Source organism: Homo sapiens, chromosome 16, assembly GCF_000001405.40.
Source record: "Homo sapiens chromosome 16, GRCh38.p14 Primary Assembly".
Lineage (NCBI taxonomy): Eukaryota > Metazoa > Chordata > Mammalia > Primates > Hominidae > Homo > Homo sapiens.
In genome coordinates, this window is record NC_000016.10 from 85,552,346 (window position 1) to 85,570,560 (window position 18,215).

General features: G+C 56.7%; 1 protein-coding gene across 17 annotated transcripts in view, besides 13 other annotated features; it reads left to right on the plus strand.

Annotated features, from left to right (window-relative positions):
* Window positions 1–18,215, plus strand: part of GSE1 (Gse1 coiled-coil protein) — a 506,689-nt gene that overhangs the window by 382,834 nt on the left and 105,640 nt on the right. For 4 of the 17 annotated variants that reach the window (XM_005255864.5, XM_047433827.1, XM_005255865.5 and 1 more), the window contains exon 1: window positions 3,342–4,018. The exons of 8 other annotated variants lie outside the window; for them this stretch is intronic. In XM_005255864.5, the coding sequence (XP_005255921.1) occupies window positions 3,982–4,018 (37 nt within the window). In that variant the 5' untranslated portion in view covers window positions 3,342–3,981. Of the gene's footprint in view, window positions 1–952; window positions 1,133–3,090; window positions 3,173–3,341; window positions 4,019–10,865; window positions 11,893–18,215 lie in introns of those variants that run through there. 5 more of the 17 variants (XM_047433821.1, XM_047433836.1, XM_047433823.1 and 2 more) reach the window with 4 other exon arrangements.
* Window positions 923–1,182: a silencer, noted in NCBI's record as "silent region_7807". NCBI's record gives its function as "represses an Ori minimal core promoter by ATAC-STARR-seq in GM12878 lymphoblastoid cells {active_cell/tissue: GM12878}" and the evidence as "EXISTENCE:reporter gene assay evidence [ECO:0000049][PMID:35858748]".
* Window positions 1,193–1,442: a silencer, noted in NCBI's record as "silent region_7808". NCBI's record gives its function as "represses an Ori minimal core promoter by ATAC-STARR-seq in GM12878 lymphoblastoid cells {active_cell/tissue: GM12878}" and the evidence as "EXISTENCE:reporter gene assay evidence [ECO:0000049][PMID:35858748]".
* Window positions 2,754–3,254: an enhancer, noted in NCBI's record as "H3K27ac hESC enhancer chr16:85588705-85589205 (GRCh37/hg19 assembly coordinates)". NCBI's record gives its function as "activates a minimal SCP1, AML or CMV promoter by ChIP-STARR-seq in primed H9 embryonic stem cells {active_cell/tissue: H9 hESC(primed)}" and the evidence as "EXISTENCE:reporter gene assay evidence [ECO:0000049][PMID:30033119]".
* Window positions 3,532–3,661: an enhancer, noted in NCBI's record as "active region_11272". NCBI's record gives its function as "activates an Ori minimal core promoter by ATAC-STARR-seq in GM12878 lymphoblastoid cells {active_cell/tissue: GM12878}" and the evidence as "EXISTENCE:reporter gene assay evidence [ECO:0000049][PMID:35858748]".
* Window positions 4,371–4,540: a silencer, noted in NCBI's record as "silent region_7809". NCBI's record gives its function as "represses an Ori minimal core promoter by ATAC-STARR-seq in GM12878 lymphoblastoid cells {active_cell/tissue: GM12878}" and the evidence as "EXISTENCE:reporter gene assay evidence [ECO:0000049][PMID:35858748]".
* Window positions 4,526–5,384: an enhancer, noted in NCBI's record as "H3K27ac-H3K4me1 hESC enhancer chr16:85590477-85591335 (GRCh37/hg19 assembly coordinates)". NCBI's record gives its function as "activates a minimal SCP1, AML or CMV promoter by ChIP-STARR-seq in naive H9 embryonic stem cells {active_cell/tissue: H9 hESC(naive)}" and the evidence as "EXISTENCE:reporter gene assay evidence [ECO:0000049][PMID:30033119]".
* Window positions 6,770–6,960: a silencer, noted in NCBI's record as "fragment chr16:85592721-85592911 (GRCh37/hg19 assembly coordinates)". NCBI's record gives its function as "represses an EF-1alpha promoter that drives an FKBP-Casp9 reporter gene in an ReSE screen in K562 erythroleukemia cells {active_cell/tissue: K562}" and the evidence as "EXISTENCE:reporter gene assay evidence [ECO:0000049][PMID:32094911]".
* Window positions 6,976–7,185: an enhancer, noted in NCBI's record as "active region_11273". NCBI's record gives its function as "activates an Ori minimal core promoter by ATAC-STARR-seq in GM12878 lymphoblastoid cells {active_cell/tissue: GM12878}" and the evidence as "EXISTENCE:reporter gene assay evidence [ECO:0000049][PMID:35858748]".
* Window positions 11,938–11,987: an enhancer, noted in NCBI's record as "active region_11274". NCBI's record gives its function as "activates an Ori minimal core promoter by ATAC-STARR-seq in GM12878 lymphoblastoid cells {active_cell/tissue: GM12878}" and the evidence as "EXISTENCE:reporter gene assay evidence [ECO:0000049][PMID:35858748]".
* Window positions 12,761–13,490: an enhancer, noted in NCBI's record as "H3K4me1 hESC enhancer chr16:85598712-85599441 (GRCh37/hg19 assembly coordinates)". NCBI's record gives its function as "activates a minimal SCP1, AML or CMV promoter by ChIP-STARR-seq in naive H9 embryonic stem cells {active_cell/tissue: H9 hESC(naive)}" and the evidence as "EXISTENCE:reporter gene assay evidence [ECO:0000049][PMID:30033119]".
* Window positions 14,950–15,677: an enhancer, noted in NCBI's record as "H3K4me1 hESC enhancer chr16:85600901-85601628 (GRCh37/hg19 assembly coordinates)". NCBI's record gives its function as "activates a minimal SCP1, AML or CMV promoter by ChIP-STARR-seq in naive H9 embryonic stem cells {active_cell/tissue: H9 hESC(naive)}" and the evidence as "EXISTENCE:reporter gene assay evidence [ECO:0000049][PMID:30033119]".
* Window positions 15,824–16,019: a silencer, noted in NCBI's record as "fragment chr16:85601775-85601970 (GRCh37/hg19 assembly coordinates)". NCBI's record gives its function as "represses an EF-1alpha promoter that drives an FKBP-Casp9 reporter gene in an ReSE screen in K562 erythroleukemia cells {active_cell/tissue: K562}" and the evidence as "EXISTENCE:reporter gene assay evidence [ECO:0000049][PMID:32094911]".
* Window positions 17,290–17,539: an enhancer, noted in NCBI's record as "active region_11275". NCBI's record gives its function as "activates an Ori minimal core promoter by ATAC-STARR-seq in GM12878 lymphoblastoid cells {active_cell/tissue: GM12878}" and the evidence as "EXISTENCE:reporter gene assay evidence [ECO:0000049][PMID:35858748]".

An 18,215-nucleotide genomic window follows, 5' to 3' on the forward strand; every position in this document is an offset into this window, starting at 1 on the left:
TTTTTGAGACGGAGTCTCGCTCTGTGCCCAGGCTGGAGTGAAGTGGCGCGATCTCGGCTCACTGCAACCTCCGCCTCCTGGGTTCACGCCATTCTCCTGTCTCAGCCTCCCGAGTAGCTGGGACTACAGGCGCCCGTCACCACGCCCGGCTAATTTTTTTGTGTTTTTAGTAGAGACAGAGTTTCACCGTGTTAGCCAGGATGGTCTCGATCTCCTGACCTCGTGATCCGTCCGTCTCGGCCTCCCAAAGTGCTGGGATTACAGGCGTGAGCCACCGCGCTCAGTCTCAGGTGGACCTCGATGGCTGTCTCCAAGTGATCTTGCCTGGAAGCCAGGCTGATGGGAGCTCCAGACTAAAGGCCCCTTTCCCAATCTCCACAGGTGGCTCCCAGGAGGCAAGCTTCTTTCTGGCATAGTCTTCCCCACTGCAGCAGGGGAAGGGGGGCACCCAGCAGATTGGGGGAGCACCCCTCCCTCTGTACCATGCCTGTGATTGGCTCATAATTACAGGTTTATTGCCTGTACAGCTATTGTGTAATGACATGTTTGCAAATTAATTTTTATGGCTCCTGCCATTAGCATATACAGTGGAGGAAGGTTTAGTATTAATTACTACTGTTGTTCGTGTAATCCCGGAGAATTAAAAACCAATATAAGAATGACAACAGAAACTGATAGTTTAGGGTCTTTTAAAAATAGTTTTCTTTTTTTTTTCCCCCAAGTAAGATGGGAGATTTTTCCAGTTTGTGAGGGGTTAGCGGGTGGGCGGTCTAACCCGCGCTCTGGCCGCCCCCCGCCCCGCCCCCCAGGGGCACAGATCATGCAGCTCGCGGGTGATAAATGGGTGGGAGGGGAAAGCGGGGGCTGGAGCGGAGGCCCGGCGGGGCGCGCGGGGTGGGGGCAGGGAGGGCAGGTGCCGGACCCCGACCCCGCCGCCCCGCTTGCCAGGCCGCCGCCGCCGCCGCTGCCGGCGGGTGCAAGGGGAGGCGCAGAGAGCGCGCCGCCACGCAGCTCCGGAAACAAAGGGCCGCCGGCGCCGAGGGCCTGGCGCGACCTCCAGGGTCAGCGCGGGGCGGAGCAGCCAGAGGTTGGCGGCGGGCGCGGGCGGCCCCGAGCGGCCGGTTTCCTACAGGTCAGCAGCTCTGGCGCCCTCCCCTGCGCCCGCGTGCGCTAGGCCGCCCGCTGGGAGGGGGCGCCAGGCGGGGCGCAGCAGCGAGCTTGGGGACTCAAAGACGCTCCTCGCACCCCGGCGGTCGAGCCCCGGAGGAAGGCGGCCGCCAGCACGCCGCAGCCACCGAGCTGCTGGCGGCGGCGGGGAAGAGCGCCACCCCTCCCTTGGCTCCGAGCGCTCCGCCCAGCTCATTTAAGAATTTTTCTGGCGGGGTAGGCGAGGGTTTGGCAAGTGGCTTGGAGAGGTCAAAAGGCACGCCGCTGCCCCCACTCCCCCATCTCCTCCAATTTGCCCTCCGTAGCTTTTCTCTAGGGTATCGTATTCCGGGAGTTCAACTGTCATTTGAAGCCGCTGCATTTAGCAGGGACCCCGGGGCTGCCGCTGGGGACCCCTGATTTACGCAGTGGTTGGAGAGCGTTGGCAGGAACCCAAGCCTGGTGTGAGCGCGGTGCCCCGCCGTGTGTACCTGCGGGCTCAGGTCTGTTCCTCAAACCATGATTGTATCTGGGGTCAAAAGGTGACCCCTTAGTGTCACCAAGTCGTGATTCCGGCTGGTTGTGCCACCGAGGGGCCCCTCAGGAGGTAAAAGGGCTTGAAAATAAATTGTCACATCAAGAGGCAGCTTTGCAGCGTGCGTTTAAGGAGAGGGTGGGGGGACGTGGGTAAATGGATCCTGTCTCTTTAAAATCGCTGGGCTGGACAATGAGCGCACAGGATGTGGTTTGGCGGCAGGGTTTTTTCCCCTTCGATTTGGGGAATTATCACATGGGGCCTTCTTGAGCTGGTGTGAAAGGGAGGCGGCGTGGGGAGGAGAGATACAGGCTCCACACTCACACTCTCTGTGCAGTTGATCGTTTTCTTAAACCAAATTAGCCGGGGCTTTCGTTACTATGGTGCAGCCGGGGCTTGCAGAATCCCAGTAATAGCATTTATTAGGTCTATTTGCCTGGAAGCATGCCTTCCCGGATCTGATAATGCACCAGTGCAGGGAGAGTGTGGGAGATGCTATCAAGCATTTGATTACACTTGCAACAGGGATTTTTAAGGGGTGGGGTGCGGGGTGAGGGGTGAGAGGAAAAGAAAGGAGGGAAACAAACCGCTCGCCCGAGGAGCTCACCAGGGCCGGCCGGCGTGTGCGTTGCCGCAACCCCGCGTGGGTTCCACAAAAGGCGGCCCCGAGTCTCCGGGTCACGGTTTGGGGATTCTCCTCCCGGGTCCTGGCGGAGGGCGAACTCCCGGCTCCCGCAGCTGTCAGTCGTGGGGGGGGAGGGAGGGAGGACGGACGGGCGGGCGGGCGGGCGGCCAGAGCGCGGAGTTGGGCAGCCGGAGGGGGGGCCAGCGGCGCCCGCAGCCGCCCACTGTTTGCAAACGGCCCCCGCTTCGGAGCGAAGGGGAGCACCCTGCCTTCGGCAGCGGCACCCTCCCCGGGTTTGGAGAGGCGAGCCCGGCTTCCTGCGCCCCGCTCCCCGTCCGCATGGATCTGCCGCCCGGCTCGGCGGCCGCGCGGGGGGAAGCTCGCAAGTGAAACTATTATTATCGCCCTGCGAAGCATGGAGCTGTTGGAAGATGCCGCGTAGAGACGGAAGGAGCCGCCGCCGCCGCCGCCTTCAGCCGCCCGCCGCTGCGCCCCTACCCTTTCGCTTTCATTAGGGGAGACAAATCTGCTGTCAGGCAGCCAGCTTTCCAATTTACCGATAATGATTCTTGCATGAAAATTGATCGAGGGGCTCTCCACCGCCGTGCGCTCTCGCCTCCCCGCTCTCCTCCTGCCTCCTTCTGCCCAGGCGCCAGAGCCCCCGCGAGTTCTTTCTCCTCCTCCTTCCACCCCCTCTCTCTGAGTCAGTGGTGGGACGCCGGGCCAGGGAGATAACCAAAAAAGGGGGGGGAGGGGTGTTGGTGGCGAGAGGGGGAGGGGAGCCGGCTCCCCAGCCTGCTTTCTCCTGCCGGAGACTTGTTTGCAATCGCCGCCTCTTTTATTTACGAGAAGAAATCTCCCCCTCGGTACTTCTTGGCTGTTTGGGTATTAATTTTCTCCTCTCCCCTCTCCCGCTCGCCCCCTCCTCCTCTCCCCGCCACCCCGCCCCTCCTCACCCAGTAGCTAAGGGGAAACAAAACAAAGCCGATTTCTCCTTGGCAACAAGAGATACCCCCTCCCGCCGCCCCCCCCTTCCTTTTTCCTTCTGGTTCTGAACGTGAAACCCTGTTGGAAACAGGTCTCTTGACCCTCGCCCTTGACATTCAAATGGCTGAATGGAGGAGAGATTGCTACTCGCACGTCCTGGGGGCTGTTTTTTTTTTCTTTCCCCCCTCTCTCTTTTCCTTTCAAATGAGTAATCCCTGAAGATCTTAACCCCCCAATTTCATCACCCTCACCTCCCCCCTTTATTTTTCTCTCGCTCCTCTTCCCCGCCTGCTTCCCTCCGCCGCGCTCCCCCCTCCTTTTTTTTATTTGCATCTCAAGTCCAAAAGGCAGAAAATACACACGCGGCGAAGACACCCGGGCAGCCGTGGAGGCTCCGGCCCGTCCTTGGTCGTCAATTACCTCATTGTGGATCTGCCAGGGCCAAGGTGGCCGAAATTGCCTGGGCGCTGGTCGGAGAGAGAGCCTTTTGATCATCTTGCGGGGCGGGGGGGGGAAAGACTGATTTTTTTTTTTCGTCGCTCTCGGGATCGCTCTTCTGCCTTTATTTTATTGTTTTGGACATTTTTGAGCGCCGTGGCTTGAACGGTGCTTTTTGTTCATTCCTGGGTTTTAATATTATTTTCCTTCTTCATCCCTCTCTGGCCACTATGGAATTCTAATTTGAACCATGTTTGGATTGAAGCCGCCTCTGTATTACTTACCAGGTAAGCGAGCCGTGCGCCTCCCTGGGTCCCGCGCGGCGCCGGCGCGCCCGGGACCCTCCCTCACCCGACCCCCCTCCGCCAGACCCCCGAGCCAGGGTCGGGGCATTGGGTCCGCCGGTGCCCCCCGCAGACGCGCGCGGCCTCGGATCCTCCCGCTGCGGTCAAGCCCGCGGTGTGCGCGGCTACGTGCGGCGGGGAGCGCCCACCTGGCCCGCCGCCCCCATCGCGCCGCCGCCGGGGGTTGCGCGTCTCGCTCCTTTTGTCTGCCGGGAGCCGGCTCCGCCGCGGCGGCGGAGCGAGCGGCCGAGGCACTTAAACCTTCCAAGGTGAAGTAAGCGCCGAGTGTGAAGTTACTTTCCTGCAGGCCGCCCCGATCGGGTAGCATGCCCCCCCCCCCCCCAGTCCTGGGGTTTATTTCCCTCTCCCTCCAGCCAACCCCCTTGCGCGGTCTCGGCGCGAGCGTGGCTCGCCGGCCCCCCCGCCGCCCCCCTTCCTGCCTGGGATTCCCTGGAAGGTTTTGTTCCGCCGAGGTCGGAGGAGGGGGCCGGGGAAGCTCAGGAGGGTATTTGGCGTGGCTTCCTGTTTCCTTAACCTTCCTGCGCGGTGACAGCCGCTTGCCCTGTAACTTTCTGTTTCGGGGCAAGTCGCGCTTTCAGCCTGGAGGGGAGGGGAGGGGAGGGGGTTGACAGCTGGAGGTTTGGGGAGCCCCTCCTGAATTCACCTTATTTGGATTTCTAAACCTTAAAAAAAATTAAGTGTAGGCTACATGGAAGCTGGTGATCCAGGAATTCAGGCGAGGGAGCCCTGGGTGGTGAACCCCAGGGTTCTTCCCCACCGCGCGCCGTCACCCCCACTCCTGTGCCCCCTGGGGTCGGGGAGAAACGCACAGGCCTGCCCCAGGTGGGGCCACGTGACGCAGGTCAGGAAGGCTGTGCTGCGTGTGACTGCTGGTTCTAGGAATGAGCTGATTTTATTCCTCCCTCCCTCCGAGTTGATCTCCCTTGAGCTTTGACACACGGTACCTAATGAAGGTGGGGTGTGTGTGGGTGGGGAGGGTGATGTGGGGGTGTAGGGAGGAGAGGGGAAGTTCCTAGTTTTCCCATGTTGAGGCTTTTATAAAATTCTGCAGAAGACGCTGCCCTGGAGCTTTATTTCTGAATTGTTTTGCTGGGGAAGGGTGCACGTGGCCCGGTGTTCGGTTTCGGGTTTTTTTTTTTCCTCTGTTCAGAAGATCCTGTCACTTTTGCTGAGGCTTCCACACCTCTCTGGAGTCCCCAGGAGGAGCGTGTGGGGCAGGAAGGGGCCTGGACAGGACCCAGCTCCCTTGGATCTGGCCTTTGCTGCCCTAACCTGGGCAAACGTTTTCACTGAGTTAACAGAGCAGGGCAGAGGGTCACCAGAGTCCAACTGACTTAAAAAAAAAAAAAAGGCAGGAGAGACTCCTCCTGGAGGAAATCTGTACTTTTACTCTTTTTGAGTTTCGTGGTGTCTGTTTTAGTTCCCAGTAACTGACCAGGTCTATGTTTTTTTCTTGGTGTGTATGCCGTTTTGATAGGAAGAATATTGAATATTTTCCAGCGTTTCCATTCCATTCTTGATCTTTTTTTTTTCTCCTCCTCTGCCTGAAATGCAAAGCAACAACAAACAGCAAGCTTCGCTTTTCCCTCCCTCCCCTAGCGGATCCAATCCAAATTAGAACCGGGAATCCCCAACTTAGTAAAATAAAGGTTGTAAGGGGAGGGCGGAGTGAGCCCTTGGGAACTCAGAGCTATCTCTCCCATGGGAAGATTCCAGGTAAATGAGGGCTGGGTCTGAGTCGCGCTGACATTCATCAGAGCCCTTTAGCCCAAAATGAAACAGATCCTCATGCTGTATCTGGGTTTTTCTCGTCTGTCTCCCCCCGGGTCTGTGGCTGGGGAAAGCAGAGAGCTTGTGCCTCCCCGGCAGCTATGCCTGCCTTGGAGGCGCTCAGGACCAGCTTGTGCCAAGAATGAATCTTCTTAAGTACAGGGCGTCTTCAAAGCACAGGTGTTTGTAATCTACACCCCTCTTCACCTGCCACTGGAGGCTGCTGGTGCATATTTATTCATCAGGTGACCGATTTTCTGTTTACACAGGGAGACTCAGAAAGAGGAGGAGGAAGTGTCAGGCTGGGAAATTCAAAGCCATTAAGGAAGATCAGCCCAGGCTGGAGTAAAGCCCCCAGTGGGTAGGCAGGAGGGGTGACTTTTGTCCTGACCCCCAGGGAGATTAAGAGAGGTCAGAAGTGAGGGGAGGGGAGGTCGGGGCACAAGTAAATCTCAGCCTGTGGATGCAGGCTTTCCCCGCATTATAGTTTTTTTGGTGGTTGTATTTAAAGTCCCCACTGGGGTTTTACACTTTATTGTCTTAGTGTAATATTCAGGGTGAGGGCTTACCGGGAAGAACTATGGTCAGGGAGTGGCTTCCCAGGGCTGGGGTTAACGCATTGAGAGTGATGGAAACGGCAGTGGCCTGGTCCTCTTTATTTTTTGAGATGGAGTCTTGCTGTGTCGCCCAGGCTGGAGTGCAGTGGTGTGATCTCGGCTCACTGCAACCTCCACCTTCCAGGTTCAAGAGGTTCTCCTGCCTCAGCCTCCCGAGTAGCTGGTATTACAGACACCCACGACCATGCCAGGCTAATTTGTGTATTTTTAGTAGAGATGGGGTTTCGCCATGTTGGCCAGGCTGGTCTCGAACTCCTGACCTCAGGTGATCCACCCACTTTGGGCTCCCACCTTGGGCTGGGATTACAGGCTTTACGTGCCCAGCCCTGGCCTGGTCCTCTTGAGTGCTCTCAGGCCCTGTTACAAATGCTTTGTGGGCTCTCTGTAGATCTCACTTCCTCTCTCTGAGGTAGCTGCTGCCATCCACCCACTTATCAGATGAGCAAAGTGAGACCCAGGGGCTCAGCAATTGCCCAGCTTGGGAGTGGCGGAGCTGGGACATGAAGCTGGCTTCTGTCTGCCACACTGAACTGGGAATAAGGGGGTCCAGGTGCAGCAGCCAGCATGGCTTGCTTCGGGCCTGTGGTTCTGGATGAGAGGCTGACCCTGCCCCACAGAGGCCTGACACCATGGTGCTCTGCAGCCTCTTGGACTTGGTTTCTATGCCTGATGCCAGATCCCAGACACTGCAGGGAGCAAGGGCCCAGAACCCGCCTGTCCAGCCATTGCCCCAGGGGCAGTTCACAGTCAGGCTGGCATCAGGCACCCGCTGCTCCTGTTTGACAGGTGAGAGGACTGAGGCTGGGCAGTAGGTTTGAAGTCAGGCTCTGCCTCTCCTGAGCTGTGTCCTTGGGCGGGTGACTGATACTCTCAATTGAGTCTGTTTTCCCATTTGTAAGATGGGATCCATAATTGTATCTCCCTCAGGATCAGTGTAAGGCAAGGGTCAGCAATCCATGGCCCGGCCCATTGTAAGTCAAGTTTGATTGGCACACAGCCACGCCTGTTCCTCTGGCAGCTTTCACATTATAATGGCCAAGCTGAGTTGTGAGCAGAGACCATCTGGACTGGCCACGCCTAAAATCTTTAGTTATTGTCTGGTCCTGGACAGAGAAAGTTTGCCCACGCTCTGTTGCAAGAAACAGAATGAGCAGGTCCACTGAAGATGGTGCCTGGGATGAAGTTAGCGCTTGTCGAGTGATAACTGTAATAATAATAATTCTTATTTTGTCACGGTCATTATTGTTATTGAGGTAGAATTATTTGCAGCAAGTCACAGAGCTTTTTTTTCTTCTTCTTCTTTTTTTTTTTTTTTTTTTTTTATGTGAGACGGAGTCTCTCTCTCTTGCCAGGCTCGAGTGCAATGGCGAGATTTCGGCTCACTGCAACCTCCGCCTCCCGGGTTCAAGCGATTGTCCTGCCTCAGCCTCCCAAGTAGCTGGGACTACGGGAGTGCGCCACCACGCCCAAGTAATTTTTTGTATTTTTAGTAGAGACGGGGTTTTACCATGTTAGCCAGGATGGTCTCGATCTCTTGACCTGCCTTGGCCTCCCAAAGTGCTGGGATTACAGGTGTGAGCCACCGCACCTGGCCAAGTCATAGAGCTTCTTAGTGGGGACCTGAACTCTTGTCTTTGGACCAGGCCTCTTGCCGCCATGGTTGTAGCGTCTGCCTCTTAGTGCTTCTTCACTGGCCAGGGGGAAATGGTAGCCGTGAGGGGATGCTGGCTGCAGGGAGAGCAAGGTGCAGGGGCATGTGTGAAAGGAGATGGGGCTGGTGAGTGGGAGGGCACAAGCTGTGGCCTCCACCTTCCTGCAAATGGGGCGACTGGGAAATTCAAACGGGGGTCCCTTCTCAAACCTTCCTCTGTATGTATGTATGTATGCCTAGATCCCCCCTTTCCTGAACTCCACCAGGCTGCTAGCCCCATGCTGGCGCAGACTGGGTGTCTCCTTTTTACCAGACTCAGTGCCGGGCCAGTAATAACGATCCTAAAAAAAATAATAATAATAACGAGGACTGGGCGAGGTATCTTACACCTGTAGTCCCAGCACTTTGGGAGGCCGAGGTGGGTGGATCACTTGAGCCCAGGAGCTCGAGACCAGCCTGGGCAACATGGTAAGAACCCCTCTCTACAAAAAATGCAGAAACAATTAGTCGATCGTGGTGGTGCCTGCCTGTAGACCCAGCTACTCAGGAGGCTGAGGTGAGAGGATCACCTGGGCCCAGGAGGTCGAGGCTGCAGTGAGCTGTGATTCCACGACTGTACTGCAACCTGGGTGACAGTGAGACCTTGTCTCAAAAAAAAAAAAAAATTATTCATGAGGAAGAGGCAGTGGCTGCTTCGTCTACTATTCCCATTCCACGCCAGACACGGTGCTTCCTCAGAACAGCTCTGGAGGTGAGGCTACTCTTACCCCCCTTGACAGCCAGGGAAACTGAGGTACAGAGAGATTGAGGTCACATGTGCGCTAAATGGTGGAGCAGGGCGCCGATCCTGGGCAGTCTGGCTCCAGAGTCCCTGCTTCATAAATATTTGTTGACTGTGTTGAGTGGGAGCTGGCCGCTGGCGTTGGCAGCGGCGCCCTCCGAGCCCCTTATCTGGTTCCTGTCGTTTCTGGAGGGAGGACTGACTCCTCAGCCATCAGCTGACCCCACCCCAGCCCCACACTGAACTCTGGGTGACCCTGGCCTTCCCTCAGGATCACTGTCCACTGCTAGAAAGGCTGCCCTCGGCCCTCCAGGGAGGAAACTGAGGCCCAGAGAGAGCTGGGGCTTGGCCCATAGCCATGAAGCCTGCTGGTGGTTGCTCTAGGACTCGGGGTCCCCCTGGAACATTTCCCCGGCCCCAGCTGCCCCCGGAGGCCAGAGCAAGTCATAAATATCTCATCCGGCCTGTCCTAGGCCCCTTTCTTGACCATCCTGGGAGGGGCTTGCAGGAGGCTGAGGCTTCCCCTGCTGAGAGCTGGGGTACCCAGAGTGAAGCTCGGCCTGTGGGGGCCGCTGGGTTCTATTTCCCACCCATCTAAACTGCTTCCAGAAAGTCAAGGTGTGAGGCAGGGGCTCAGGCCCACCTGGGTTGGGGGTGGTGTCTGGAGGTGAGGTCAGGCTGGAACCCAACTCCCAGGGTGCTTGGAGCCGAGGCGGGGACGGGGCACCCGCAGGGACCAAGGTCTTGCATAGCCTCAGGCTTGTCATGGGACGTTAGCAAACCATAGCTGTGGCGCCGGAGCCACCCAAGACCCACTCTGGGCGCAGGTTAGGCCTAATGGGATCTGACTCAGATAAAAGGAAAACATGGCTATTTTAGTTGTGATTGAGAAAGCTGCTTATTTACAGCTCAGAAACTCAGCGGGGACAGGCATTTCGGCTTCCATCTAGCACTTTCCAGGCAGTCACTAATTAATCTTCCGATACCCCTGAGAGATGGGGAGGCCGCCACGGTTCCATCTGTCGGCTGGGAAAGCCAGGGGCCCTTTTGTCCCAGCTGCAGCCCAGCCCTTTTCCGAGGGGCCTGGTCTGGTTCCCACCCCCCCTGCCCAATTTGGTTCTCATTAAGGTTTTTTTCTTGCTTAAATGTGTTGTTGTTACGCCATGGGTGGGAACCTGATATAGTCCCGCTGGAAACTCTCTTCTTATCTCCTTGACTCTGGAGACAGAAGAGGTTTCTTTGTACTCTGGGAGCAAATGGTCATTATGTTACCTGGATTCCGGGGCAAGAATGCGTGTCCTTCTACGCAGGGGAAAGTGCAGGGTGGGAGCGGCAGGTGGCCCAAGCCACACAGCTCCTGGACAGAGCCGGGAAGGGGAGGACGTGTCTGGACTTGGCCTCCTGCTTTGAGCCTGGTGCTCCGTGTCGCTTGCCCATCTTCCTCCTGGACATGGACACGTGTTGGGGGGAGCGGTCCCAGGGGGGTTCCCTCTCACCAATGTCAAGTGTGATGGAGTCACCTGGTCTACCCTGGCATTGTGTAGATGAGATCACAGCGGTCAGGAGACCTCGCAGGCCTGTTGACTTCAAATTCTCTTCCTTAGACTTTTGGGGAGACTAGGGTGGTAGAGGCAGCCTCTCCATCAACCAGGCTGCGTCCTGTCATACTCTTTGTGGGAAAATCATTAGACTGTTGTGGCCCTTAACGTGGCCTTTCAGGAAGGATGATGGGATCCCCTCTTAGGGGACCTCCTCAGCCAAACAGATCCTTGTCCCTGTCTGGGATTGTCCCCTTTTGGTGGTCTAGCTGCAGGATCAGCAGAAATTTTGAAGCTGTAGGGGCACCGTGTATTCGAAGGGAAGAGGGAGTTCGGGGGTGAGGGAATCAACATCCACATGGTATCCTCCTCCTCCTCCTCCTCCTCTTCCTTTTTTTTTTTTTTTCTTTTAAGAGCGCCATATAGATTTAAAGTCCTTTTGTTAATTTAGGAACATAAAACCGTGTGATGTATAGTTTGGTTTGCTCGTAAAATTACTAAGTGTGGCATATTTAGTGCTGTGAAAGCTTGGGGTAAAAGGAAAAAAAATCAGTGAGAATTTTCTTACAAGTCTTTAGGGGAAAATGTATTTTTCCGGCTTTTTCCCACACATGCCAGGCCCTCCGCAGCTGGGGTTGGCGCTGGTCGTTACCCTCAGCCCCAATTACAGCTGTGCTGGAAGCTGGGAGTGGGTGCTGGGGCTGGGGGATTGCGGGAGTAGGGCACTGGTGGGGTTTGGGTAAAGCCAGGTCCAGGTCTTATCTCCAGAGGGTGATCCCACCCCATTCTGGAGCTCAGCCCTGCCGGAAGCCCAGGCCCTGAAGGATCCGGGCAGCTCCATCCTCTGCTCCCTCCCACAGTGAGACAGGAAGCGCCCTCTGACCAGGCCTGGACCGCCGCCCAGTGGGCATTTGGCTGCTTGCTTAATGGCCTGTGGGGTCAGGAAGTCACGGAACATTGGACTTGGGAGGGACCTCAGAGGTCAGACGGGCTGTCCCTCCCTTCTCTGGATTTGGGGGTCTCGTGGTCACCTCAGGCTGGGCACGTGCAGGTCCTGCTCCTGGGTTGGACCGGGCTGTGCCACTGTGGCGAGCTAGGATGTTGTTGCTTTTCGCACAGAACACGTGCCTGTGACCTAGTCCTGTCCTCTGAGGACACAGACCAAGCCTCCCCTTCCCAAGCACCTCCCGTCAGGCCCCCTGTGAGCTGGGCAGGGCTTGCGCCAGTGGGTGCCGGGCACTGCGCTGCGTCAGTCCACTGGGCAGGAGCAGCAGAGGAGATCTATGTTTTATCTGTAAGTCACTTAGGGAGCAAACAGAGAGCTGAGCACAGATGGATTGCTCTGGAAACTCTTAGAAGCATCCTGGCAGAGGGAATCCAGGAAGGCTTCCTGGAGGAGGTGGCACTAAAAGCAGGCTTTGGAAGTATGGAGCTTCGAGGTGAGTGAGGCTGGGAGGAAGGAGGCTAACACAGTGAGGAGGGAGGAACAGAAATAGGGAAACTGCTCTTACAAGACTCAGCACATTAGGTTCATGTCAGGTGTGCCGGGAGCTGGGCATGGGGCCATCCCTGCCCACGTTGTGGTGTTGGTGGTGGTGTGTGGGGGGCATGGATTGAGTAATCAGGGTGACAAGTACTGGTGCTGAGAGGTGTGTGTAGAATTTTCTGGGCGTGCAGAGGAAAACAGTTTGGTTTGAGATGGGGGTGAAGGCTGTGTCCAAGAAGGCCACAGAGCGGAGGTGACATTTGAGCTCTCCTTTCTACTCTGGGGAAACCCACATTCCTCACCAGTGGGGACTTGGCAGGGAAGGCCACCACTCCTGCCCCGTTGCTCAGCAGCACCCTCTAGGGGTGGGGCTCTGAAGCCTGTGCGTCCTTCAGAGGCACCATGGGGACCAGAGGGTGTCCGGCAGCAGGGCCCTTTCCAGAAGCCAAGGAACAGTAGGAGAGAATGTGCAGGCAGAGGGAGCCTGTGCGGAAGGGGTAGCTGTGCCTGTCAAATCTGTTCCCTGCTCCTCCCAGGCTCTGCAGGCCAGAGAGATAGATGCATTAGGCCCAGTCCTTGTCCTCAGACAGCCAGGCGTGCGGGAGTGTGGCGGACGGGCCCCTTCACAGCTTCTGGCAGGAAGCAGAGCCCAGAGTTTAGGGGTGGGGAGAGTGTGGCCAGGGGATGGTGAAGTGTGGGAATGAAGCCGGGGAGTGGGTCGGAGCCACGTCTTAAGAGGGTCTTGAATGTCATCAAGCCGGTGACACATGAACTCGATTCTGTTGTCAGTGAGTGGGAACCTGGGTTCTTAAAAGCGACCAACTTGGCCGGGCACGGTGCCTCACGCCTGTTATCCCAGCACTTTGGGAACCCGAGGCAGGTGGATCACGAGGTCACGAGTTCAAGACCAGCCTGACCAACATGATGAAACCCCGTCTCTACTAAAAATACAAAAAAATTAGCCGGGCATGGTGGTGCGTGCCTGTAATCCCAGCTACTCAGGAGGCTGAGGCAGGAGAATCACTTGAACCTGGGAGCGGAGGTTGCAGTGAGACGAGATGGTGCCACTGCACTCCAGCCTGGGTGACAGAGCGAGTGAGACTCTGTCTCAAAAAAAAAAACAAAAAAAAACAAAAAAACCACCAACCAACCCCCTGTGCTTGTTTAACACGTGTAGAGGGAGCGCAGGCCAGGCACAGGGAGATGCCCCTGAGAAGCCCCCAGAGCTGCATCCTCGTGCAGTGCCCACACCGGCGAGGGGCCCATGGCGAAGGGTCCCTCGAGGGAAGCTCTGGAGAGAAGGGGAAGGGTGAGAGAGCCAGGGCAGCGAGTGCCAAGGCTGTTTCCTGTGGAGTCTGCATGTTCATGAGCCCTCCTGGGGATGCCAGTGCCCACTGGAGTGAGAGAACAGGCCTGACCCCTTCACCTGACCCTGGACACCAGCAGGAGATTTGAGAGCAGGCTGTGGGGTGAGCGGTGCTCGAACCAGGCCAAAGCCTGAGAGAAGGTGTGAGAAGAAGCAGGAGGGACCCTGGGTCTCGGCCATGCTCCAGGAGGAGTTGGGTCCCGATGGCGAGGGTTCCCCGGGTGTCCTTGCCAGTCTTCTGGTGGGCCCTGTGGGTTCCAGGGCAGCAGGCTTTTCTGAGGCTGCAGCGCTGCCTAAGCACTGGGTTCCATCCTGCCTCTGCTCCTTACTGGCTGTGTGACTCTGGGCAGGTTCCTTACCCTCTCTGGATCTCTGTTTTCTCATCTGCTAAATGGGGCCAGTAGCGGAGCCTGCCTCCTGGGGCTGCTGACAGTGTTCGATGAGTTAACTGGCAGAAGGGAGGGACCAAGCGCTGTAGGACCCTGAGCTGCAATTACCATTTGGGTTGATAGCTCCCAGCTGTCATGCTCCCAGCTGCACGCCGTCCATATCTTGGATTTGAGAATGACCTGGAAGAGGGGGACCCCACCTGGGAGACCTGGCCAAGTCACTCCTGGTGGAGGCAGTGGGCTGGGCAGGGAGGGTCTTTGAGAAGCCCAGACTCCTGAAATGGCTGTCCGCCAGCCCAGGCCACGCACAGCGCCGTGGTCACAAGGCGGCAAGTTCTGAATAAGTAAAGAAGAAACGGAATCGTCCTGGTGAGGTCGTCCTGGCCCTCTCTCCACTGCGTCCCATGTAAGGAAAGCCGAACTGGGTGAACCCTGGGCCCCAGGAGTCACTGGATGGAGGGCGCTATTGGCCAGCCCGGCCTCAGCGGAGAATTTCTTTGTTATAGATTTCTTCTTCCACCTCCCCAACCCCAGAAGACTTCAGTGTCACCCTTAGTGAGTGACAGGCCCACAGCCAGTGCCCCGAGGCCGATGGCACCTTGTCTCAGACTCTGGGGCCTTTGAACCGGCCCCAACCCTCCCCACCTCTTGTCATTCTTGTCCTGTAATTCATTTAGGATTAGCTTTCAGACCTCCTCGCTGGTCCTAACTTCTGTCGTCTTGGTAACTGTGTCAACCGTTTGCTGGTTTCCCGTGATTATCTGACAAGAGAAAGGGGGGCCGGCAGGGAACATAAAAGAAGGGAGGAGGAGAGAATGGCGGGGTCTTAATTGAACTTGCTGTGGAGGGGCCGCAGCGGAAGGGCCGGCCACTGCATGGGCAGTAGGGGGCGGTCACGTAGGCCTCTCACCCGCTCCAAGAACCTGTGTCACTGTCGGAAGTGTCACGGCCTTTATCTTAGATCTTAAGGGCCCAGGGACAAGGTGTTACTCCCGCCCCCACCCCCACCCCCACCCCCACCCCCACCCCCCTCCGCCCAATTTCTCTCCTGGAAAGTTTCACTCACAGGCGGATTTCAACCGCCTGTGCTGTCTTTATGACAGCACTCACCACAGGGTGCCGGCCTGTCGGTGGGCAGGTCAGACCAACCGTTGCGGGGGAGGGGATGGGGCGGCTGGTGGGTGGGTCTGCAGGGGACCAGGGCTCCTGGCATGGAGGAAGACTTCATGAGCAAGTGTGTGGTCATAAAACATCGTTTTATTCTCCCAGCTGCTGTGCGTTGGAAATTCAGAAAGGGTGTGGTGGGGTGGAGCCGGTCTCTGCCCAGCTACACCTGGGGCCTCAGCTGGGAAGACTGGGAGGCAAGGTGATTTGCTGTGCAGAGTCCCGAGTCGTCTGAAGGCTCCTCTCACTCAGGCCTGGCAGTTGGTGCTGGCTGTTCGCCAGACCGCAGCCGGGGCTCTCAACGCTGGGACGCCTCCTCGTGGCCCCTCAGTGTGGCATGAGCTTCCTCAAAACATGGCGGCCCCAGAGCTCCGAAGGCAGTGGTCCCAGCTCACAAGCGGAAAGCTGCACGGCCTTTTAGGGCCTAGCCTCGGAGGGAAGGCTGTACCACACCACATTCTGTTGGTTGCAAGTGAGGGACAAGCCTGCCCATTTTCAACTGGAGGGGAGTTAGGCTTCATCTCTTTTTGTTTGTTTGAGACAGGGTCTCGCTCTGTTGCTCGGGCTGGAGTGTAGTGGTGCGATCTCAGCTCACTGCAGCCTCTACCTCTTGGGCTCAAGTGATCCTCCTGCCTCAGCCTCCCAAGTAGCTGGGATCACACGTATGCACCACCACACCTGGCTAATTTTTAAATTTTTTTGTAGAGACAGAGTCTTCTTATGTTGCCCAGGCTGATCTCGCATTCCTGGGCTCCAGTGATCCTCCTGCCCCAGCCTCCCAGTGGTGTTAGGATTACAGACACGAGCCACTGTGCCTGGCCTGGGCTCCACCTCTTAATGGGGGAATGGTACCCTTCTAGAAGGGCATGGGGTTTGGGAGATGCAATTGATGTTTCCTCTCTGGAAAATGTCATCAGCTACACATGCTCCACCCACCCACATCCTCTGTGAAGTATGTGTTTCCAGAGAGTGGTAGCCTTGCCTTGAGGAAGGAAAGAGGTTCCATCTTCTTCCAGGGTCTGCTTCTGGAGTTTCCTGAAGACCTGTGACATGGAGCTTTGAGGGCAGAGGTCTTTGTGCCCTGGTGGGGAGGCTGGTAGGCCTCCGGGGTGGGCCTCCACAGTCATGGCGGCCCCCAATTTCAGGTTCGCCAGCCCTCTGAAAATAATAGTGAGGGTTGTCTCTGAAAATAAGGGTGTTGTTTCTTGTCACAGAGGCAAGATGGGCCCCTCACTGGATCAGTGGGAAGATGGGAGTGCCTTTTAGGGAGCTACTAATGAGCTATGTCTGATTTTTATGAAACTCCATGGTAAATTATTAATTTGGGCCAGAAATGAAAGTGTGGAACTGGATAGGCTCATGAATATTCATCGTTGACTTCAGTACAGGGTTGGTTGATCAGTGGCTAGAGCAGGCAGCCAGCCTCGTGACCCAGATACGGGCTTATTACCCAGGGCGGAGGCTCTTGGGAAACCCTTCCCCATTCACTCCCTTAGTTTCTTGGTCCAGAGGTGGGGCTGGTAACTCACAGCTCATTAGCAAAGTTGAAGCTCGACCAGGGCTGGGCTGGGGCCAGCTCAAGATGGGAGCAGAAATCAGAGGGTTCTTGACCCCCTGGATCACCCTGGGTTCACAGCGGTCTGTTCTCACTTTGGAGCTGCTGTGGATGAGGGTGACGTCTGTGCAGAAGGAGCCGGAAGCTCCCACTTCTCTGCCTCTACTCCCCTCTTAGAGCCTCCTGGGAAGGATGGAGACCCCTAGAAATGAGTCCCTTTAACAGATAATCTTTGGTTCTGGAGTATGATCATGGTTAGTGTCATTGAGGTCACTTTCTGGGTGGCATGCAACGGAGCCTCCTCCCAAATTCAAGCCTTCTTGAAATAGTAAGTTTGCATTTTTTCCAAGATGGTTCTGCTGGGATCCTTTTCTCCCCGACAGGGCCAACCCTGCCTAACACTCTAGCCTGCCCTTCTCTACCTGTCCTCCACACCTTTGGCCAGGCTGTTCCTGCTGCCTAGAGCGCTGAGCCCAGGTGTCTGGGAACGGTCAGTGCTCACTCCTGTTAGGAGTGGCCGCTCCCTGCTCTGTGCTCTTGGGTAGATAGTAAGCAACCGTGACCTACCACTGTAGCTCTTTATTTAGTAGCTGAGCCCCTGGGCCTGGGGGCCAAGTGGTCGGATGTGAATTCTTGCTCCGCCTTGAGTCCTTGTGTATGAGACTGTGGGCAAGTTACTGAAACTCTCTGGGCCTCAGTTTACTTGGGTGGTAAATGTGGAGGATAATTTTCCTGAGGCTGCTGTGAGAATTAAAAGGCTTTGTACATTTCAAGAGCTTAGTGTGGTGTCTAGGCTGTCAGGAAGGGCGGACTTGCTCTTGGTATTATCGTCTGTGTGATCGTCATCATCACTGGATTTCCTGCTGGGAGAGAAGCTCCAGCGCAGGACCTCCTGGGACTCCCTAGCTCAGTGCCAGCACACACGGGTATATGCGGATGACTGCCGTCTCGTGTTACGTGTGTTTTCCCTGCTTCTCAGGAACCGAAGAGTTTACTACACTGTGGCCGTGGCGTGCGTTGGGGAAAGCCTCTGCACTGCATCAGGCCTGTGTGGGCTTTGCCAGTCTCTCCGGGGGGCCTTGCACCTGCCCACCGCCTGGACAGACCCATTTGTAATACAAGCCCTGGAGACCGCCCACCTCTGTGTGGAGATGAGGCCACTTCCTGCCTGAGCCCTAGGGGGTGGAGGTGGGGGTTTCAATCCCCGCCTCTGTCGGAGGAGGACAGAGAAAAGTGAGGTTTCTGGTGGCTTCCGGGATTAGAGCCAAGATACAGTTGCGGCCCTGAGTTCCCAGGCTGAACTGGCCACTTCTTGCAGTGAGCTTTTCGGAGAAGCAGCCGTCGGGCTAGCTGAGTGGCCAGATGGAATGAGAGGTTGCCTGCCAGAGTCCTAGGCACACAGGCTGGTTCTGAGGGCCCCTTCCAAGGTGGGGGGAGTTCTGGATGGGCCTGGCCCTTGGTCAGTGTCCATCTTCAAGGACCTTGGTGCTGGAGGAGGTCCTCAGAGCCTCCCAGCATGTGAGAGGCTGTCAAGTCTGTGCTTAGGAGAGGGAGTGCAATGGGGAGAGGAAAGACCTGGCCCTTGACCCGCCTCTGCCAGGGATTCTCTGGGGCTTTGGGGGTTCCCGCAAGTGGCCTGCTGGCAGGCACTTCGAGAACTGACACCTGCTGTGTGACAAAGTCGTGGCACTTGATCCCAGCCTGCAGAGAGAGTCATGAAAAGCATGTGCGGTTTTATTTGGCTATTGAAACCCATAACTCCACCTGCCTGGCTTTTCATCTGATTTTGATGCCTTTGACTC